At 47.6% G+C, this 19,609-nt stretch overlaps 1 protein-coding gene across 1 annotated transcript in view; it reads left to right on the forward strand.

Moving 5' to 3' along the window:
• NXF2 (nuclear RNA export factor 2) overlaps nucleotides 1-12,070 on the forward strand; it is a 79,556-nt gene extending 67,486 nt beyond the window's left edge. Inside the window, exons 4-23 of the mRNA NM_022053.4 lie at nucleotides 2,311-2,500; nucleotides 2,727-2,877; nucleotides 3,181-3,264; nucleotides 3,376-3,480; nucleotides 3,596-3,676; nucleotides 3,863-3,932; nucleotides 4,089-4,177; nucleotides 4,298-4,405; nucleotides 4,585-4,694; nucleotides 6,373-6,409; nucleotides 6,790-6,858; nucleotides 6,945-7,000; nucleotides 7,132-7,239; nucleotides 7,360-7,418; nucleotides 7,557-7,672; nucleotides 7,768-7,810; nucleotides 8,411-8,483; nucleotides 9,018-9,200; nucleotides 11,611-11,671; nucleotides 11,818-12,070. Coding sequence (NP_071336.1) covers nucleotides 2,311-2,500; nucleotides 2,727-2,877; nucleotides 3,181-3,264; nucleotides 3,376-3,480; nucleotides 3,596-3,676; nucleotides 3,863-3,932; nucleotides 4,089-4,177; nucleotides 4,298-4,405; nucleotides 4,585-4,694; nucleotides 6,373-6,409; nucleotides 6,790-6,858; nucleotides 6,945-7,000; nucleotides 7,132-7,239; nucleotides 7,360-7,418; nucleotides 7,557-7,672; nucleotides 7,768-7,810; nucleotides 8,411-8,483; nucleotides 9,018-9,200; nucleotides 11,611-11,671; nucleotides 11,818-11,862 — 1,838 coding nt within the window. The 3' untranslated portion in view covers nucleotides 11,863-12,070. The remainder of the gene's footprint in view (nucleotides 1-2,310; nucleotides 2,501-2,726; nucleotides 2,878-3,180; nucleotides 3,265-3,375; nucleotides 3,481-3,595; nucleotides 3,677-3,862; nucleotides 3,933-4,088; nucleotides 4,178-4,297; nucleotides 4,406-4,584; nucleotides 4,695-6,372; nucleotides 6,410-6,789; nucleotides 6,859-6,944; nucleotides 7,001-7,131; nucleotides 7,240-7,359; nucleotides 7,419-7,556; nucleotides 7,673-7,767; nucleotides 7,811-8,410; nucleotides 8,484-9,017; nucleotides 9,201-11,610; nucleotides 11,672-11,817) is intronic.
• The last annotated feature ends 7,539 nt before the right edge of the window (nucleotides 12,071-19,609 follow it).

Here is a 19,609-nt window from a genome sequence, read left to right on the forward strand (position 1 = left end):
GTATAGAGGCAGACCAATATACGTGAGGACATAATTCCTGTTCTGCCACTTACCTGGCTGGGAAATGTACCCGACATCTGTGAACCCAATATTCATGATCTGAAAAGGGACTGTGGATAAAATTCTCATGGGATTTCTGTGAGGAGGTCAAGAGAAACCTAGTGAGTCTGCCCAACACTGAGCAGATGTTGGTTGCCACTGGGCAAGGGTTGGTTTTCTTCTTATCCCGTTCTTTCCCTGCCGTAGCAGGGATGCTGATGCCATGCACTCAGTGGCATGGCAGTGATGTAGGCAGAATTCCAAACTAACACAGGAAGTACCAGTAGGAACACACGTGATGTCATAAAGGTTACTCACCACTATGTCTGTGTGGGGGGATCAGCCAGTACATGGTGGGACTTGAGGGGAAACCCAGGCGGTCTGGGTGAGAAGTACTAGCTGCTTTATAATACTCTTGAGATCGCCCGTAATTCTGGCAGCACAACTGCGAGACAGGGATTGTGCTGAGATGCCAGAGTTCAGCAAGTGGATGTACGCCTGTGTGTGTTGTGTCTTCGGCATCTCTCTCTGTCCGGTCCCTCTGTGGCTTTTTATCACATGTGCTCTCTTCCAACACAAGGCCTTGCCTGAGGCTGTAGCTGTAGCTGTTGGCTAGCTTACACTTTTACACCTTCTTCCCCTCAGTGACGTTATTTCTGAAGTAATGTGTGTTCTCAAAAATGACTCTGACTCTTCCTGTGCTCCATATATTGACCGTGTGCCCTTAACCCTCACTTTAATCTTTGATTTTTTTCCCTTTCATTTATGGACTTTCATGAAAATGAGTTGGTTTCTGGACATCCTCCAAATGTCACCAATAGGGGTCTTTGTTGTTGTTGTTGCTGTTGTTGAGTATTGTTATGGACTCATAACTTTTTAACATACTGATGGGCTCCAAACCGCGGTTAAAGGATTTTGAGTAAAGGAATGACAAGATTTGACTTATGCCTTAAAAAATCACTCTGCCTCCTGTGTTGAAAATAGATGGTAGGGGAGTCAAGGGCAAAAGCAGGACAACTTGGAAGGCAGCATAATCCAGGAGACAGATGTTGGTGACCTGGCCAGGGTAGGTAGCAATGGAGGGGGTGAGAAGTGGCCAGACTCTGGATATATTTTAAAGGTAGAGCCAAGAGAAGATACATCCATCCTGATCGGTTGGATGTAGAGTGTGAGAGAAAGAGAGCACTCCAGCCCCACTTCCAAGTTGTAGGGACCAAGCATCAGGAATGTCTAGGTCAGATGCTCTGCCCACATTTAATTTCACTTCTAATGGCACACAGGGAAAGTCCCAGCAATCGAGAGGAGCAGGACTGTCCTGACAGCGGGTCACACACAGTGAAAGCAATGATGCCCCCTACAGAAGTTCATCTGAGGCCTGGCCATAATCAGTATATTGCAGAGAGGTCAGCAGTGACCGAAATTTTATTCATAAGAGTGCCCTGAGACAAGGTGTACATTTTGAAATTGGTCGAGGTCTGTTTGATGGTCCAGGAGATGGTCTACCTTCGTGAATGCTGCAAGACAGTAGAGGGGGAAAAAACATACATGCTCTGTTTTTGTTGTTGGGTACAGTGTGTTGGGTACGGTGTTTTATTTATGTCATTTAGATCCTGTTACTGTAGTGGTTTTCAGTATCTGCTGATTTTCTTTCCAGTAATTCTGTCACTTGCTTAGGAAGAGTTGTCTCTTGGGCTGAAAGCATTTCGGGCTGGGCAAAAAGAAAGCTTGCTCTGGGTATTTCAAACTGAGTATTTTTGAGGGCAAGGCTGGAGGCAGGAGGGCAGCTTGGGAAGCTGTTACATCGGACCCACCTGTCATTAAAGCTCGTACTGCACTGGCAAAGAGGTATAGCTTGCTGATTGTTCACAGAATGCATTTGGGGATTGGATTTGGGAGGTGCGAGAGAGCTTGTCTCCCAGGTGTTGGTGTGGTTGTTAGATTAGAGAAGCCTGAGAGAAGGCAAGATTAGGACCCCTTCCAGGTGTGTGGCTGGTGTCTAGTCTAACCCATGGACACGCGCACCTCTGTTCTTTATAATTCCTGCTCCATTTCTCAGGAGGTTCAACACAGTTGCTTCCTCTCCCAAGATTCCTACCCTGATTGTGCCACCTGTGAGATAAGGCTCTTGTATCTGGACAGGCAGAGGAGTTTGTTTTCTGGGGCTTATGTGGCGGGTTGGCACTTTGCTAGCCCTACCATGGAGTTAGCTCACGACGTGGTACGTGGTAAGTGGACCATTGATGTGTCTCAAACTTGTCTTTTTGTTCTCAGTTGCAGAATGCCATGACCATGGTAGCACTTTTCAAGGAAGAAAGAAAGGTGGGAGTTCTTTCCGGGATAATTTTGACAAGAGGAGCTGTCATTATGAACATGGTGGGTATGAGCGCCCGCCTTCACACTGCCAGGAGAATGATGGAAGCGTGGAGATGAGGGATGTCCACAAGGACCAACAACTAAGACAGTAAGTGACCAGGCAGCCTGGTTTGCACGTAGCAGCCCCCGGGACTGTGCAACCCTTTCATTCTCTGTGGTCTTCCTTTTCTTCTCTCATTAGAGAACTGACGAATGCTGGAAGTGGAATAGTGGCTGAGCAGTCCTAATTGTAGCCCTGGCGTCAGTGAGTGGAGCATGTATAGGAGACTTTCTTAGATTTAATGGATACCCGCCTTCTCTCCTCTTCCCCACAGCACTCCTTATAGCATCCGATGCGAAAGAAGAATGAAATGGCATAGTGAAGACGAAATCCGTATTACCACGTGGAGAAATAGAAAACCTCCGGAGAGAAAAATGAGTCAGAACACACAGGATGGATACACAAGGAACTGGTTTAAGGTCACAGTGAGTATCTTGGTGGGGTCTGCATTAGGTGGACTATTCTGGAACCTGATAGAAGGAAGACCACTTAAAACACCCTAAGTTGATTATTTGGAGGAGAGCTTCGGAATGGGGGGAAAGGGAGTTTAGGGCATCTATATTTGGCACAAAAATAAGAAATCATGTCAGCGGTCCTTTCTTTAGAAATCTAAGCTAAGTAGAAGGTTGGAAAGAAAGAAAAAAAAAACCCAGCTGGTTGGTTCTGTTCTCCATCCTTAGTTCCACGTTGTCTCTCCCTTCCCTCCTATTTCTTCTTTTTACCCTTAGATTCCTTACGGGATAAAGTATGACAAGGCATGGCTAATGAATTCAATCCAGAGCCATTGCAGTGACCGCTTCACTCCGGTTGATGTAAGAGAGGATGGTGAAGCCAGATGAGTGGGCATGGGGGACGGGGAGAGGCCTGGCTCAGCAGGGGCCATTGGCCTCTGACGCTGTTGCTCTTGCCTTCACTCCCTGTAGTTCCACTACGTCCGAAATCGGGCATGCTTCTTTGTCCAGGATGCTAGCGCTGCCTCCGCATTGAAGGATGTCAGTTATAAGATTTATGATGATGAGAACCAAAAGGTGTGTGCCGAGGGCATGCCCTGTACTTAGTCTCTGGGCAGGAGGACAGGCCAGGGGGCTGGTCATCCTCTTTGGGATTAGAGGTCCTGGTACTTACCACCCTGCCTTCCTGCAGATATGTATATTTGTCAATCATTCTACTGCGCCCTACTCTGTGAAGAATAAGTTGAAGCCAGGCCAAATGGAGATGCTAAAGGTAATACAGACTCAAGGATCATTGTATGCCTGCTTCCTGGACCCACCTCTTCTTCCCCTGGCCCCCTCTTTCCCTGTCACCACCACCACCACCACCACCACCACCACCACCACCACCACCATCACCACCACCACCACCACCATCACCAGAGCCCCAGAGCCTCTGTCTTCATCTCTATCTCTGCAGCTGACCATGAACAAACGGTACAATGTCTCCCAGCAAGCTCTTGATCTCCAGAATCTCCGCTTTGACCCAGGTAAGGCTGACAGCAGCAATTCTAAGACAAGCGGGGGCAGAGAGGTCTGCCTGGGAGGGAGACTTAGGAATGGCAATTTACAGAGGGGTTGGGGCTGGCTCTGGTCCAGCCAGGGCCCTCCCAGCCTTCCGATTCCCTTCTCTTGGCTTCTTCAAGACTTGATGGGCCGTGACATTGATATAATCCTGAATCGAAGAAACTGCATGGCTGCCACCCTGAAGATCATTGAAAGAAATTTCCCTGAGGTGAAGCCTTAGGCTCAGTGCTGGTATTTAGTTAGAGGGGTGGAAGGGATAAGGTGGAGGGCAGATTTGTCTCTGAGGCCCAAGATAGTAGCCGCCACTCTAACTCTTCTTGACCCAAAGCTGTTGTCTTTGAACTTGTGCAACAACAAGCTGTACCAGCTGGATGGCCTTTCTGACATTACAGAGAAGGCTCCCAAAGTCAAGACCCTGAATCTCTCCAAAAATAAGGTGAGAAGGGGGAGCCAGATCAACTTTGGGTGGAGGGCAGGACACATCAGGATAATGGCAACAGCCAGGCAGTGGCACCTGTGGGTGACTATGAGGGCCGGGGGAATTCAGGGCCCAGGGTCCTGGGTGTCTCTCTTTCCCTGGCCCTCCTTCTCCAGTTTCCTCCCCATCTTTCTTAGCTGGAGTCGGCGTGGGAGTTGGGCAAGGTGAAAGGGCTGAAGCTCGAAGAGCTATGGCTAGAAGGGAACCCGTTGTGCAGCACCTTCTCGGACCAGTCCGCCTATGTAAGGTCAGTGGCAACCCCGGTCACCCTTCCTGGGCACCTTTGCTCCCTGGGTGACTGAGCTGTGTCTGAAGGTGCCCTTCTGCAGGAAGAAGCAGCCTTGGTCCTCTGGGAGGACCACAGACCTCCCTTCCTACTCTCTCTCTCTCTCTCTCTCTCTCCTCTCTCTCTGTCACTCACTCATCTGTGCTTAGAGGTCTCCTTTCCTTCCTCTGACATGGTCCCCTTTTCACCTGCTCTGGGGTGTGTTTCCCGCCTGTCTCCACCAAGCCTCCTCCAGTGTGCCCTCTGTGAGTGTGCTCCAGGAAGTGGGGCTCCCCCACCTCCCCAGGACCAGCAGTATTCAGATGCTGGTGCCCTGGACCGAGAAGAGTCCTTTAGTCCGGGGCTTCATGCTGAGACAGGCCTTCCTGCCTCCATGCTGCGATGGGGCTTCCCTCCCCTGTCCCAAGAGGGGTTCTCCTTCTCTTGCTCCAAAAAGGTCCCCCCACCTGTCCTGGGCTGGCATGGGGGCTTCCCTGCCCCATACTGAGGGCTGGGGCCCCGGGTGGCTGCTGTCATGCCATCTCTTCCTCTGGCCCAATGCCAGGAGCTGGGCCCTCCTTGGGGAGAAACCTGGGTTTCCTACGTCAAGGGGCCAGAAGCGGGCCACGTTCCTGAGGCAGGAGTGGAAGGCAGAGGGCAGAGGAGGTTGAGAAGACAGAAGGACAGGCCTCTCAGGGCACTGCCCCACCTTCCCTCCTTCTCCACCTCACATCGTCCTGCCTGGGCCCTCAGAGGAGCCCTGGGTAGCCCGAGATGGGTAGCATTCCTCGGTCAAGGCGTCAGCACAGAGGGGCACAGGAGTCAGGGACCATCAGAAGAGAATGCAGTGGTCTGGAGAGGGGGTCCCCAGACTCTGAACCCCATGCTGAGCTGGGGCCTGACTCTTCACTCCTCCCGGGAGAAGGTCTCCTGTCCCCGTGGCTGCTCTGTTTCCCATGCCCAGCTCAGACTGAGCTCACACAGGTGAGGAAGGCTCCAGCTGCATCCAGTGGGCCCCAGCCCAACAGGCGCATGTTTTCCTTTCCTGCCTCGGTCCCCAGGGCCAGCCAGGGAGCAGTGAGGGAAAGGGCTGCAGCAGGGGAGCCCTTTTCTCCTCTTCTCCTCCCTGAACTCCACCTCCGCAGTAGAGAGTCTTTCCCTTCCCTTTGCATTGCATCCTGTTTCTCCCTTGTCTCTCCTCTCCTATGTCTCACCCATCCGTCCCTCCCCTACCTTCACCCCGTTTCTGTTGTTGTCCCCCCTGCCTTCCGCTTCCTGCCTCCTGAGTCCGGCCTCACTCACCTCCGTGTCCCAGCATCCTGGGCCATCCCTAAGGGCTGACCTGGTCTTGGCCAGGGCCTGGTCAGGCAGGTTGATGGACAGCCAGTGAGGTGGCAGAGCCCTGGGCTCCCACCCCATTTCCTGCTCCCTGCAGAGCCTTCCATGGTGACTTGGGCAAAGGGGAGGGAGGGAGAGGAAGAAAGCCCTGGAGCCTGGGCTCCCAGTGCTGCTTCTTGTAGCACTGGAGAAAAGGGAGTCAGGACAGTCTAGATGGAAGCTAACCAGGAGGAAGGAGAGGGAGGAGTGTGAGAGGGAGTGGGAGAGAGACTGTGCAACCCTGAACTGTCAGTCACTTCATTCAATTTTTGGTTTTGGACAGTGCCATCCGGGATTGTTTCCCCAAGTTGTTACGCCTGGTAAGTATGTATAATACCGTCATCATTGTCTCCTCTTACTCAAGAAAAGGACCTCCACGCCTGCCCTCAAGTCCTTTGGGTCTTGCCTAGATTACATGCTTGTATCAGACCCTCATCCATTTTACAGGCATGGATTCCTGAAAAAGACAAGAATATTCTCCCTGGAAAATGTGTCCCCCCGCCGCCACCCCCCCCACACACACACATTTGCATGTGATAGTAGAGATGTCCAGCACCCCATGAGAAAGCCACCCACTGGAATTTCCAGGGCCATTTCCCACCTAGCCTCTGATGCTTGTCTCCCTGGGCATGTTCATCTTATCGATCATCCAGCTCCATCTCCTTGGTCTCCACTGCTGACTTCCTCTTTCCTTCTCCAGGACGGCCGAGAGTTATCCGCACCAGTGATTGTTGACATTGACAGCTCTGAGACAATGAAACCCTGCAAGGTGAGGAAGAAGGACCAAGCAAGATTTGGGTTGCTGTAAGGGAGGCTTTGTCCACCGCATAGATCCAAATTGTCTTTTGATTTCAGGAAAACTTTACTGGATCTGAGACCCTAAAGCATTTAGTCCTGCAATTCCTGCAGCAGTGAGTATCCCTGGGACCATGAGGAAGGGGAGGGCTGAGACAGGCTGGGCCACCCGTGCAGCCTGGGAGTTTTCAAGTCTCATCTGGGGCCCAGGCCACAGAGATAGCCTATCCTCACTGCTTCCCCACAGGTATTACTCGATCTATGACTCTGGAGATCGACAGGGTCTCCTCGGTGCTTACCACGATGAGGCCTGCTTCTCCTTGGCTATTCCCTTCGACCCCAAGGACTCAGCCCCGTGAGTATCACGGCTCAGACTCTGCTCTGGGGCTGTGTGTCTCCCCAGCAGACACAGGCCAACTCCTGGAAATGCCCACACTGGCCGGACCACCCACTCCTGCTCCTCTTTTTCTCCTAGGAGCAGCTTGTGCAAGTACTTTGAGGATAGCAGGAATATGAAAACACTCAAGGACCCCTGTAAGTGTGTGATGGGGAAGAGTGGGCAAGGTAAGGGGGTGTGATGGGAACAATCACAGGGGCCAAGGACCAGGATGTGGTAGCCCCCCGCCCTGCCCCGCCCACCCTGCCATTCCTTGCTTCTCCTCTCCTCTACAGACCTGAAGGGGGAACTGCTGAGGCGCACAAAACGTGACATTGTGGACTCCCTCAGTGCGTTGCCCAAAACTCAGCATGACCTCAGCTCCATCCTGGTGGACGTGTGGTGCCAGACGGTGAGCACCTGCTTCCTCCCTTGGGCAGGCCCAGAGAGCCAGAGGTGGGTAGGAGGTTAAGGAGGATCCTGAGCACCTGAGCGCTTCCTTTTCAGGAAAGGATGCTCTGCTTTTCTGTCAATGGGGTTTTCAAGGAAGGTGAGTGTCTGTATAGTCCCCTCCCCAGATCCCCCACTGCTCCCTCCCCCTGGCTGGGCTCCCTCTCAGAACTCCCCCAGCTTCCCTGCTTTCGTTCCTTTCCTTTCCTTCCTCTTCTTTCTTCCGTGTTTTCCCACCCCCACTCTGCCTTCAAACCACCCTGATCTGACCTAGGTCCATGCCTGTCTGCCCTGCACAGCTCAGGCGTGCGTTAAGGACACAGACTGTGGAGTTTGACAGCTCTCATCCCAGGTCCTTACTCTGTGAACTTGTGCTGGTTACTTAACCCTTCAGTTTCCTCATTTGCAAAATGGGGCTAATAATCTATCTCTTGGGCTACTGTGAAATAGGAATTAAGTGAACTTGTGGTTTTCCCAGGGCCCCACACATGATAGGGGCCCTGTCACTGGGAGCGGATTGTTCCTGTTGCTGCCCTCCCCATTCCTGCCACATCCGCCTGACTCCAAGTGAACAATTGTCCTGGTCTGCCCCCTCCCCCCCTTCTGTGTGAGTGTCAAGCAATACTCTGACTGGGGATCACCGTGTGAGCATGTTAAAGCCTGTGCAACTCTAAGGTGGTGGTGTTTGTTGTCTTTGAAGTGGAAGGACAGTCTCAGGGTTCTGTTCTCGCCTTCACCCGGACCTTCATTGCTACCCCTGGCAGCAGTTCCAGGTTAGTGCTGTGTTGTGGGTGGGAGCACCCATCCAAGCTTGGGGCCAGTGTTGTGGAAATGTGGTGGGTGCAGTCCTCCGGGTGTTCTCAATATTGTGGAAGGCCGACAGGAAGATCCAAGGAGCAGTCTAGCCTAGTGTTTAAGAGTGTGGGCCCTGGAGTCAGAATACAGATTCTGTTCCTCACTCCAACACTCACAAACTGTGTGACCTTGATCAACTTATTCGACCACTCTGTGATTCAGTGCCTTTTTCTGAAAATTGGAATAAGACTATCCACTTCCTTGGGCTGTTGTACAGGGTAAATGCGTTGGGGTTGGATCTAAAAATCTAGTGAAGCTGGTAGACAGTCCCTCCAAAGGTGGACTCTGTGGGAGGGTTAGAGGGTACCAGCCAAAAAATCTGGGAGGCAGGCACAGTTAGGGATATGGAAGGAATTTGGTTGTTGAGTGGCAGTGGTTAAGAAGGATCCTGTTGTTGGGGGTGCGGAGTTATCTACTTGTCCAGTTTGAGGGTGCATTTTTCTTTCCTCCAGTCTGTGCATCGTGAATGACGAGCTGTTTGTGAGGGATGCCAGCCCCCAAGAGACTCAGAGTGCCTTCTCCATCCCAGTGTCCACACTCTCCTCCAGCTCTGAGCCCTCCCTCTCCCAGGAGCAGCAGGAAATGGTGCAGGCTTTCTCTGCCCAGTCTGGGATGAAACTGGAGTGGTCTCAGAAGTGAGTGCTGGGAGTACATGGGGATGGGGGCTGTTGGGACATCAGAGGAATGAGTAATGGAAACTCACATGCAATTTGGAAAAATAACTATCTGGGTATTTTGCTTCCAAAAAAAGTGGGTCCATGAAAAAGGTATCATACTTTTATACTGGTATATGTAAATATTTTTTTAAATGGCATAATGCCCAAATGACATTACCTTCCATTTGTAAAATCTGAAAGAATCAACCACAATAAACTACTGATAAACCAGGTCAGCAAGGTTGAAAGATACAATATACAAAAATCATTTGTACTTCTATGTAGTTGCAATGGACAATCCAAAAAAATGAAATTAAGAAAATAAGTCCATCTACAGTAGCATCGAAAAGAAGAAAGTATGTAGGAACAAATTTAAGAGAAGAAGCGCAAATCTTGTACTCTGAAATCTGCAAAACATTGCTGAAAAAAATTAAAGAAGACCTAAATACGTGGAAAGGCATCCCACGTTCATAGATTGGAAGACTTAATATCATTACGATGGCAGTACCACCCAGAACAATCTACAGATTCATTGCAGTCCCTGACAGAATCCCAACTGACTTCTTTGCAGAAATTGACAAGGTAATCCCAAAATTCATGTGGAAATGCAGTGGACCCCAAACAGCCAAAACCATCTTGAAAGAGAAGAACAACGTTAGAAGACTCACACTTCCCGATTTCAGAACTTGCTACAAAACTACATTAATCAAGACTGTATGGTACCGACATAGGAACAGACGTGGGAATCAATGGAATATAATTGAGAGTCCACAGATAATCTCACGTATTTATGTCCAGTTGATTATCATTCAGGGTGCTGAAAAAATCCAATGGAGAAAAAAAATAGTCTTCTTAACAAATGGTGCTGGGAGAAGTGGATATCCACTTGCAAAACAATTAATTTTGACCCCTAACTCACATCACGTGCAAACACTGGCAGAAAATGGATCAATGACCTAAAATAAGAGCCAGAACTGTAAAACACTGTAAGTGTACATCTTCATTACCTTGAATTAGGCAACCATTTCTTACATATGAAACCAAAAGCACAAGCAACCAAAGAAAAAATAGGTAAATTGGACTTCATCTAAATTAAAAGCTTTTGTGCATCAGCAGACACTATCAAGAAAGCGGAAAACCGACTGGTGGGAACAAGGGAAAATATTTGCAAATCACATCGCCGACAAGAAGAACCCTTACAACTCAACAACAAACAGACAAGCCACCGAATTAAAAAATGGGGAAATGATTTGAATAGATGTTTCTCCAAAGGAGATATACAAATGACCAAGAAGCACGTGAAAATCTTCTCAACATCGTTAGTCATTAGGGAAACGCATATCGAAACCACAGTGAGTTACCACTTCATACCCACTACGCTAGCTTTAGTCCATAAAAGGAAACATGACAAATGTCGGTGAGAATGCAGAGAAATTGGAAATCTCATGTATTACTACTGGGAACATAAAGTGGAGCAGTTGCTGGCAAAAAGATTTTGGCAGTTCCTCAAAATCTTAAACATGGAGTTACCACATGATCCAGTAATCCCACTCCTAAGTGTATACCAAAAGAAATGAAAATATATGCCCATTCAACAACTTGCACATGAATTTCCGTAGTGGCATTATTCCAAATAGCCAAAAAATGGAAACACATGGATTGACCTTCAGCTGATGAATGGATAATGTGGTACATCCATACGGTGGAATATTATTAGAATATTATTCATCCACAAAAAAGGATGTAGTTGTGATATATGCTATGACGTGGATGAACCCTGAAAACATTATGTGCTAAGTGGGAGCACCCAGTCACAAAAAGCCACATAATTATATGATTCCATTCATACGAAGTGTTCAGAATAGCCAGATCCGTAGAGACCGAAAGCAGAGTAGTGGTTGCCAAGATCTGGGGAAGAGGGAGAACAGGGAGTGATCTCTAACAGTTAAGGAGTTTCTTTTTGAGGTGATAAAAACAGTTTGGAATTAGATAGGTGTGATGGTTGCACAATCTTGTGAATAGACTTAAAAGCACTGAATTGTACACCTTAAAATGGTGACTGCTACAGTATGTGCATTATATCTCAATAGAAAAGAAACGTATTATTGAATTTCCACTTGTTATTTCTTGAACATCTTTCTTTATCAATATGTATTAAGCTCCCTTGTTCATTTGAATACCGCTATGTTTCTGATTTGAATTCTAGTGGGCATTAATGTCAGGGATGGGCGTTTTGGTTTTCCCCAGGCCTTTTTTCATTGTTACAATAGTGCTCATATTGGTACATGTGACCCAGCAAAAAGGTAGCATAGATTAAGGGTGGCATTGCATAGTCAGCGTGTCTGTCCTGGGCTAGTAATGGAGAGCACCTGTTCTTCTCCCACCCCAGGTGCCTTCAGGACAATGAGTGGAACTACACTAGAGCTGGCCAGGCCTTCACTATGCTCCAGGTGAGGTCTGGGAATCAAGTGGGTAAAAGACAGCTGTCTCTGGGTCGTCAGGAGGGCCAAGAAGATGGAGGCCAGGTAGTGTGGGGATGGAACCCAGTGCACCTGGCTCTACTAACATCCCAACTCCTTTTCTTTACTTTCTCTAGACCGAGGGCAAGATCCCCGCGGAGGCCTTCAAGCAAATCTCCTAAAAGGAGCCCTCCGATGTCTTCTTTGTCTTCGTTCACATCCTCTTTGTTTCCTCTTTTCACCAGCCTAAGGCCTGGCTGACCAGGAAGCCAACGTTAACTTGCAGGCCACGTGACATAACCACCCAAAGAGCCAGTTGCTCTGTGTATTCGCCCCACTCATGATCACCATTTTATTTTCATAATAAAGAGTGACGTTACACGTTGTACATTGTGTGCCCTGGATTGCTCTTCCCCTGCCCCAGCCGTGAGCCAGCGGGACCAGGACTGAAAGCACTGCATCCCTGTTCATCCCTGGCTGGCCTTAGCAGATACATGAATCTGGCTTGCCTTCATAGGTAATTTTGTCCGTAAATCCTCATGAGAAAGGACACACGCTCCTTCCAGAGACTGGCCTTGAGAGACAGTTGGACTCTGTCAGATGCTCGACCTGGAGGCCCACAGAAGCAGGCATGTTACCTTGGCACACCAGGGGCTTCCATCCACCGTCCCGACCCCTCCCTTTCCCAAAGGTGCACTTTTCGAGGAGTCGTCTCAGGGTAGCACCTGCGGCGGGGGGTGGCGGGGGAGGGGGATACTCAGCCCATCTACCCGGCACACTCCTCAGAGAGCTGACACCGGGTGCTCCATGTCCATGTTCTTGAAGGGGATCAGCCATTTATTTTCACTTCTAAACAAACAGCGATAGCACAGAATCTCACCTTATGGTCAGTTCTCAACAACTGGCATTTAGCAGTTCCTAATTGCAGGCAAGAGTTGAACGAAACGTTTGCACAATTTATTGTCCACACTCCTGTGATGCTTGCACGTTAGACAATCAGCTGGCATACTTTTCGAAATTAAAATAATAGCAGTGTGACGTTTTCAAGTCACAGTCCTATAAATGGTGACATAGGAGAAGTACCACCAGTTTACAAATTATGCCTCCACTTTCGTGTTTGGCATACGTTACTTCCTACCACTTGCCGCCTTCCTACCACTTGCCACTTTTCAGTTCTTTATGTACATGTACATTAGGGATCCATATGTTGGAGTGTGGATTTCATAAAACTAGGAACTAAGGGGATAGTTGCCATTACAAAAAGAATATGCCAACCTTGTTCTTCCCTGTAGTGCTTCAATAGTCGAAGACAAGCTCCTATACCTCTCTAAGCCTTGGTCCTCTCAGCCAGGGAGCAGAGACTACAATGTGTGCTTCTCAGCCTCATCGTGGGGACTAGAGATGGCCTCACATGTTACCCATCAACCACAGTGTCTATTCAGCTCAGGCTCTCAGAGCTACCAGGGTTCCTTTGTGGACAGGAACCATGGAACCCATCACATGGCCCCTCTGCTTCCTCTCTCTACATCATCAGGCTTCCACAGCCTGGACCTCCTTCCCTAGCCAGCTCTGACGTCCTGGTCTTCCAGTCACTCATCCTCCTGCCAATTCCCACGATTTCCTGTGGTCCTATCCTCCCAGCACATGCTAACTCTGACACCTGAACTCACTCTCTCATCTCTCGTGCGCTCTACCTCTATACACACACACACACACACATCATCATCATCATCATCATCTGCAAATGGTCCATTAGGAGACAATCTTGGAAGTTTAAATGGTGAGGCAAAGTGTATGCTTCCCAAGATTATTTCTGAAGTTGGAGGGAGGAGACAAGAGTACTCACATACATTGCTTCCGAGCATGTAAATTGACATAGCCATTTTTTAGAATCATTGAGAACAATTCAGTCATAAATAATTGAATAAATATATATGTGCACATAAATATATATGCACACTTTTTATATAAGAGAAATCATAATGCAGATGCAGTTTAATATCCGTTTCATTTTAGTTAAAGTCATTAACATAAAGCTATGCATGTCATCATGCTATAATTTTATGTAGATCTGCAGTGATGACTTTCTTTTATTCTTGACATTGTTCATTTATGTGCTAATTGTGTGGAGTGTGGAGGGGAAACTTTGATTAGGACAGAAAGGAGCATACGGCAGCCACAGCCAGGAGAGTCCATCCACAACTGCTCTGTTCTTTTCCTTGGGCCTTGGCACACTCTCCTTAGGGATAGGGTGGCAGGGAGGCTGGGGCTGTGGAATTCATAAGGGCTCATCCCTGAGAAGAGGCATTATTTCCCATATGTCACTTGTTTTCCTGCCCACTGCATATGATGGCATCAAGTTTATAGACACCTCCAACAGGGTGTACTTTTTTTTAGAGTTGGGGTCTCATTATGTTGCCCAGGCTGGACTCTTAACTCCTGGGTGCAAACTCCTGGGCTCAAGCAGTCCTTCAGCCTCAGCCTCAAGAGTAGCTGGGATTACAGTCACCCAGCAAAGTTGCACTTCTTACAAAGGTTGCTGGTGTGGGCGGGTGGTGGACCCCTCCCTGTCTTCATCAGAGCACAGGAACCTCCATGTGGAAGGAGTCCAGAAGCAACTGCAGGAACACCAGGGTGAGTGGCCTTGATGATGCCCTTTTCTATCCCTCATCTCCAAGTAAATTTTGTGCCTTCCCTCAGAATACCTCTGGCTCCTGTGTATTAGTCTGCACTCCTAATAGTTTGTCCCAGAACTTGCCTCCAACTGATTCCCTTACCCCAGGGTTCCTGCCTATAGCTCCTGCCCTCAGCCCTACTGCATAACTGCTGCTGATCTTTGCAAACATGGATTCCATTCATCCTAGTTGTCTGCTCATGAGGCCTTAATGGCATCATTCCATTAATGATCTCAGAATTCCCCTCCATGCAGCACTCCTTATGATCCCACCCTCCTGTTACCCCTGTGCTGGAGAAAGCCAGTGGTTGGATATGAACCCTTCTCCCCTTCAATGGCCACATCCAAGAGCACGAACCTAGATATTTGGTCCAACATTATTCCAAATGCCTTCCATTATTCTAAAAATACCTTCTGTGAAGGTATTTTTAGATGAGATTGCCATTTAGATCTGTAGACTTTGAGTAAAGCAGATTACCCTGCACAATGTGGGTTGGCCTTATCCAATCAGTTGAAGGCCTTCAGGAGTAAAAAGATTTACCTGCCTTGAGGAAGAGGGAATTCTGCCAGCAAAATGCCTTCAGACTTGAACTGCAGCTCTTCATTGGGTCTCCAGCCTGCCAGCCTTCCCTGCATGCTTTCCAGGCTCCAGGTTCACGGGAGCCAATTTCTAAAAAAGTGCACACACACACACACACAAACGAGACACACACACACACACACACACACACCCCTTGCTGGTTCTGTTTCTTGGTGGATCCCTAATATACCAGGTAATGCTGAAGCTACTATTTCATGGATCACACTTTGAGTAGCAAGAAACTAGAGAATATCTGGCATGTCCGTACATGGCCTCATCTGTAATCGTGGTACCTTCAGCATTGTCTGTGAGAGCAAAGCTGTAGGAAAAACAAAAATGTTCATTACCATTAGTCCAAAAAAATACATTGTGGCTCATTCTTATATTGGAATATTCTATAACCATGAAAATAAATACCCTAGACCTATAAGAATCAGACCATATATTCGTATGAAAAACGAAATTTCAGATCATGATTATAAGGAGAATAAAGACACCTACAGTATGAAAATATATGCATACAACATATATATAATACTTTAAGAATGCTTTTATTCACGATAAAATTATGAAACAATTTATGGGGAATATAAACACCACGTTCTGGTTATGAGTTACATCTGAGGAGTAAAGGAAGGACAAGTGAAATGAGGGGATGGGCTCAAACATTCGTCAAGTTTATTGCTTAACCTGGTTAGTGGATACACAAGTGTTCATTTTATAGCTCTCTATAACATTTTGCATATTTGATATGTTGGATTAGTAACAAAAATTTTAGAAGCTGAAGGTTTATTCTACCATAAACATATACTCATTTTACCAAATGATTAAAATACAGTTAATTATAGAGATGAAAATATCAATAACCAACGATCCCATCATCGCTGGAAAAAGAACTGTTAACATTTTCCTGAACTTCATTCCCTTATTTTTTGTTTGCTTGCCCACGTGCAAATGTACTGCATTGACATTTCATAGAACTGTGATATATACGCAGTTTTATGCTGTATTGTTTTGTTGATGTTTTAATTAATATTAAATAATTTGCTATGGGGAAAGTATTGAACTTCAATTTCTATCAAACCGTATATACATGCACCTGTCTCATTTCTAGAACCATGCATCTGAATGCACGGATTGGAAATGCCAAATATGTCTTATACTAAATAATGTTACATATCTGAGACTGCTCCCGAGCTTTTTACAGTCCCCCTTTAAACTGTATGTCAACCAGTTTGTTCCCAACAAAGATGAAGGTGCAGCACCACAGAACAATTACATTGCCTGGCAATGCAAACCCCATTCACACGACTCTCCTTTTGGATGGTTGGGAGGAGTAACGATAAATACGATGAATGATGCAAATGCATATTCATCACTAGAAGATGCTGGGCATTTGATATGGTTTGTCTCTGTGTCCCCCCACACAAATCTCATGTTAAATTATAATCCCCAAGTTTCAGGGAAGGGGCCTGGTGGGAGGTGATTGAATCAAGGTAGCAGATTTCCCCCTTGCTGTTCTTGTGATAGTGAGTTCTCATAAGATCTGATGGTTTAAAAGTGTGGCACTTTCCTCTCTCTCTCTCTCTCTCTCTCTCTCTCTCTCTCTCTCTCTCTCTGTCTCCCTCCTGCCACTATGTAAGTTGTGCCTTACTTCCCCTTTGCCTTCTGCTATAATTGTAAGTTTTCTGAGGCCTCCCCAGCCGTGCATCCCGTACAGCCTACAGAACTGTGAGTCGATTAAACCTCTTTTCTTTATAAATTGCCCAGTCTCGCGTAGTTCTTTATAGCAATGTGAAAATGGACTAATATATCATTGCTCTGCTTGCTTTCAATGCAGTGATCCATTTACTCCTCATGTCATCTTTAAGGGGCAAGTACCATCCCAATTCCCATATAGCCCAAGAAGAAAGGTGAACTCCGGAGAGAGAAATTGCTTCCTCGAGATTAAGTGCCTCTCAACTAAAGGACAAATCCACATGTATCTCACTCTACAAACTCCACGCCCACAACCACTGTTTCTGTATTGCGTCTTCTTCTCCGTTAGAGCTGAGGCCAGCACAGGACGAGGGACTCACCCAAGGTCCTCTGGTTCACCATGGGTGCCAATATTGCTTTATTCTCATTTATGCTCTTTTTTAAAGACTTGGTGGGAAATGCTCCTCTGGTATCAAACTAGAAAGGAAATAAGAAGATTGGAAATCACCTGAAATAAAAGCAAATTATTTTCTTCTCCTTCTTAAAATTCCTTGCTTTTCCCAAGACACGGAAATGACACCCAAAACTCATACATTAGGTAAATATCTGTATATTTCTCTTTTCTGGCTATTATTTCCAGGTGTTCTCTAAGATAGATACGCTCTATAGTTTATTTGAAAGACATCTCTCTTATGGGAGGAAGTGAAATGGGCAGTATTAATGTTTTTCCAAGTCTTACAATGTGCCAGGCATTTCTATAGGGTTTCTCCTTTTTTCCCCACCAGAGCTCTCTGAGGAAGGTAACATTCCCGTTTTACAGATGATCAAGGATAGACCCACAGAACACTATACTTTTTCAGGGTCACACATCAAGTCATGAGCAGGAATGGGCTTCTCTCTCTTGCCCGCCTCACAATACCCCCGTTAGCCTCCCTTTCAGATGATGGGCTTCCAAAGCTTAAGGAGTGATTGTTTTAAGCTGTCCTAGAATTGTATCCACATGGGTACTCCCTCAACATGATATTCAGTATAGGAATAAAAACCTTGTGCCAGAAACCTGGGTGTAGGAGCCACATGGTTGAGCTGGTCCCTGAGGTGTTAAGCAAGGCTTACATGAAAACGGAGTTGTTGCTCTCTCTGGAAGGTGGCCTGAAAAAGATTACTGACGTTTGCGCAAGGATTTTAATCCACAGGTAATTTATCTAATTGAATTCTTACAGCTATTCAAGTTACTGTTCATTGTTGATATTATTCAGATCAGGGTACAGGGGTTATGGGAAGTTAAGCAACTTTCCCTAGAGAAATAAACTTGTAAATTAATGTCCAGGAACTCAAAACCTATAATTACACAGAGCACCATTATTTTTCTGCTCCGTTATCTGCGAAGACAATCAGTGAACCTAAGTGTGTTGTTTGGGGTTTCTTGTTAACAATGAGCATTACTGCTTCTCTCTCTCTCTCTCTCTCTCTCTCTCTCTCTCTCTCTCTCTCTCTCTCCCCCCTCTCTCTTCTCTCTCCTCTCTCTCTCTCTCTCTCTCTCTCTCCTCTCTCTCTCTCCTCTCTCTCTCTCTCTCTCCACAATGTTTCAGTTAACGATGGACCACATATATGACAGTAGTTCTATCAGATTATCATAGAGCTGCCCTATACAGGTGACTATTTTGTATCTTTTATACCATATTTTTATTGAACCTCTTCTATGTTTAGATACACAAATACTTAGCATTGTGTTACCATTGCTTAAAGTATTCAGTACAGTAACATGCTGTACAGGTTTGTAGCCTAGGAGGAATACGCTATAGCATATAGCCTAGGTGTGTAGTAGGCTATACCATCTAGTTTTGTGCAAGTACACTCTATGATGTTCACACTTTTACGGGATCTTTGGGGTGTCACTTTTCTGGCCGGAAACCTCTGTGGCCTGTGGCACCTTTGCTTGAGTTTTTCTTGGGCCCACTGGGCTCATTCCACCCACTCGACCTGGCAGGCTGCGCTCAGCTCATGCTACCGGCCTGGATCACACGCCTGCCATGGGAGACTGCATGGAGCAGCGAGGGGTGTGTGAGCAAGTGTGTTGTCCAACCACTGCACAGTCAGAAATGCCGGCTGCTGCAGCGGGTGGGGAGCTCCAGGTGCCAGCATGGGTGCCAGCTCTCCACTGGGCTGCCACTTGACCAGGTGCGCCACGGCTTCCACAGTTGGCACCAGGGAACGCTGTGGTGCCTTGAAGCTTGGAGACGCCAGGAACTGCAGTGCCTCAAAGACAGAGTCACAGCCCTGGCTCAGTGAGCTCCTCAGTCTGGGCTCCCAAACGGCCGCAGCTCTTCTTTCCTTCTCTTCACCTGCAACATGATGAGCAAGGGGCATGCCTCAGCCCTGTTTGTGTTACAGATCCTTTAGCCTCATTCAGTGGGTCCTGAGTTCTTATCCTGTGCCCAGGAAGAATAAGGTATGCAGACAAGTGGAGGGTGGGCAAGACGAAGAGGAGCGTTATTGAGCAATAGAACAGCTCAGAGGATACCCGAAGGGGGCAGCTCCTTTCTGCACCCAGGGTGTCTCAATGACTGTTCAGCTGCTAGCATGGAGGGTAGCTTCTCTCTGCTAGGCAAGTCAACCCGACAAGTGTTCAGCTATCAGCAGAGAGGGTAGCTCCTCTCTGCAGCTGGTCATCCCATCATCTGCACAGCTCTCAGCAGAGAGGAGGCCCTAGAGAGTGGGTGGCTCCTCTCTGCAGGCAGGTCATCCCATCATCTCCCCATTGTCTCTTCATCATCTCTGCAGCTCTCAGCAGAGAGGAGGCCCTAGAGTGGGTTGCTCCTCTCCGCAGCTGGTCGTCCCAACGTCTGCTCAGCTCTGGCTTATCCCAGGGCTTTTATGGGCCTCGGAGGGGAGGAAGTGCATGCCAATTGCTCCATGGGTGGCCATGGGCGGGCCCAGAAAGGGCACCACAAGTTCCCACTCCAGTCCGAAGGACTGG

This window comes from Homo sapiens, chromosome X (genome assembly GCF_000001405.40).
Source record: "Homo sapiens chromosome X, GRCh38.p14 Primary Assembly".
Taxonomy (NCBI): Eukaryota; Metazoa; Chordata; class Mammalia; order Primates; family Hominidae; genus Homo; species Homo sapiens.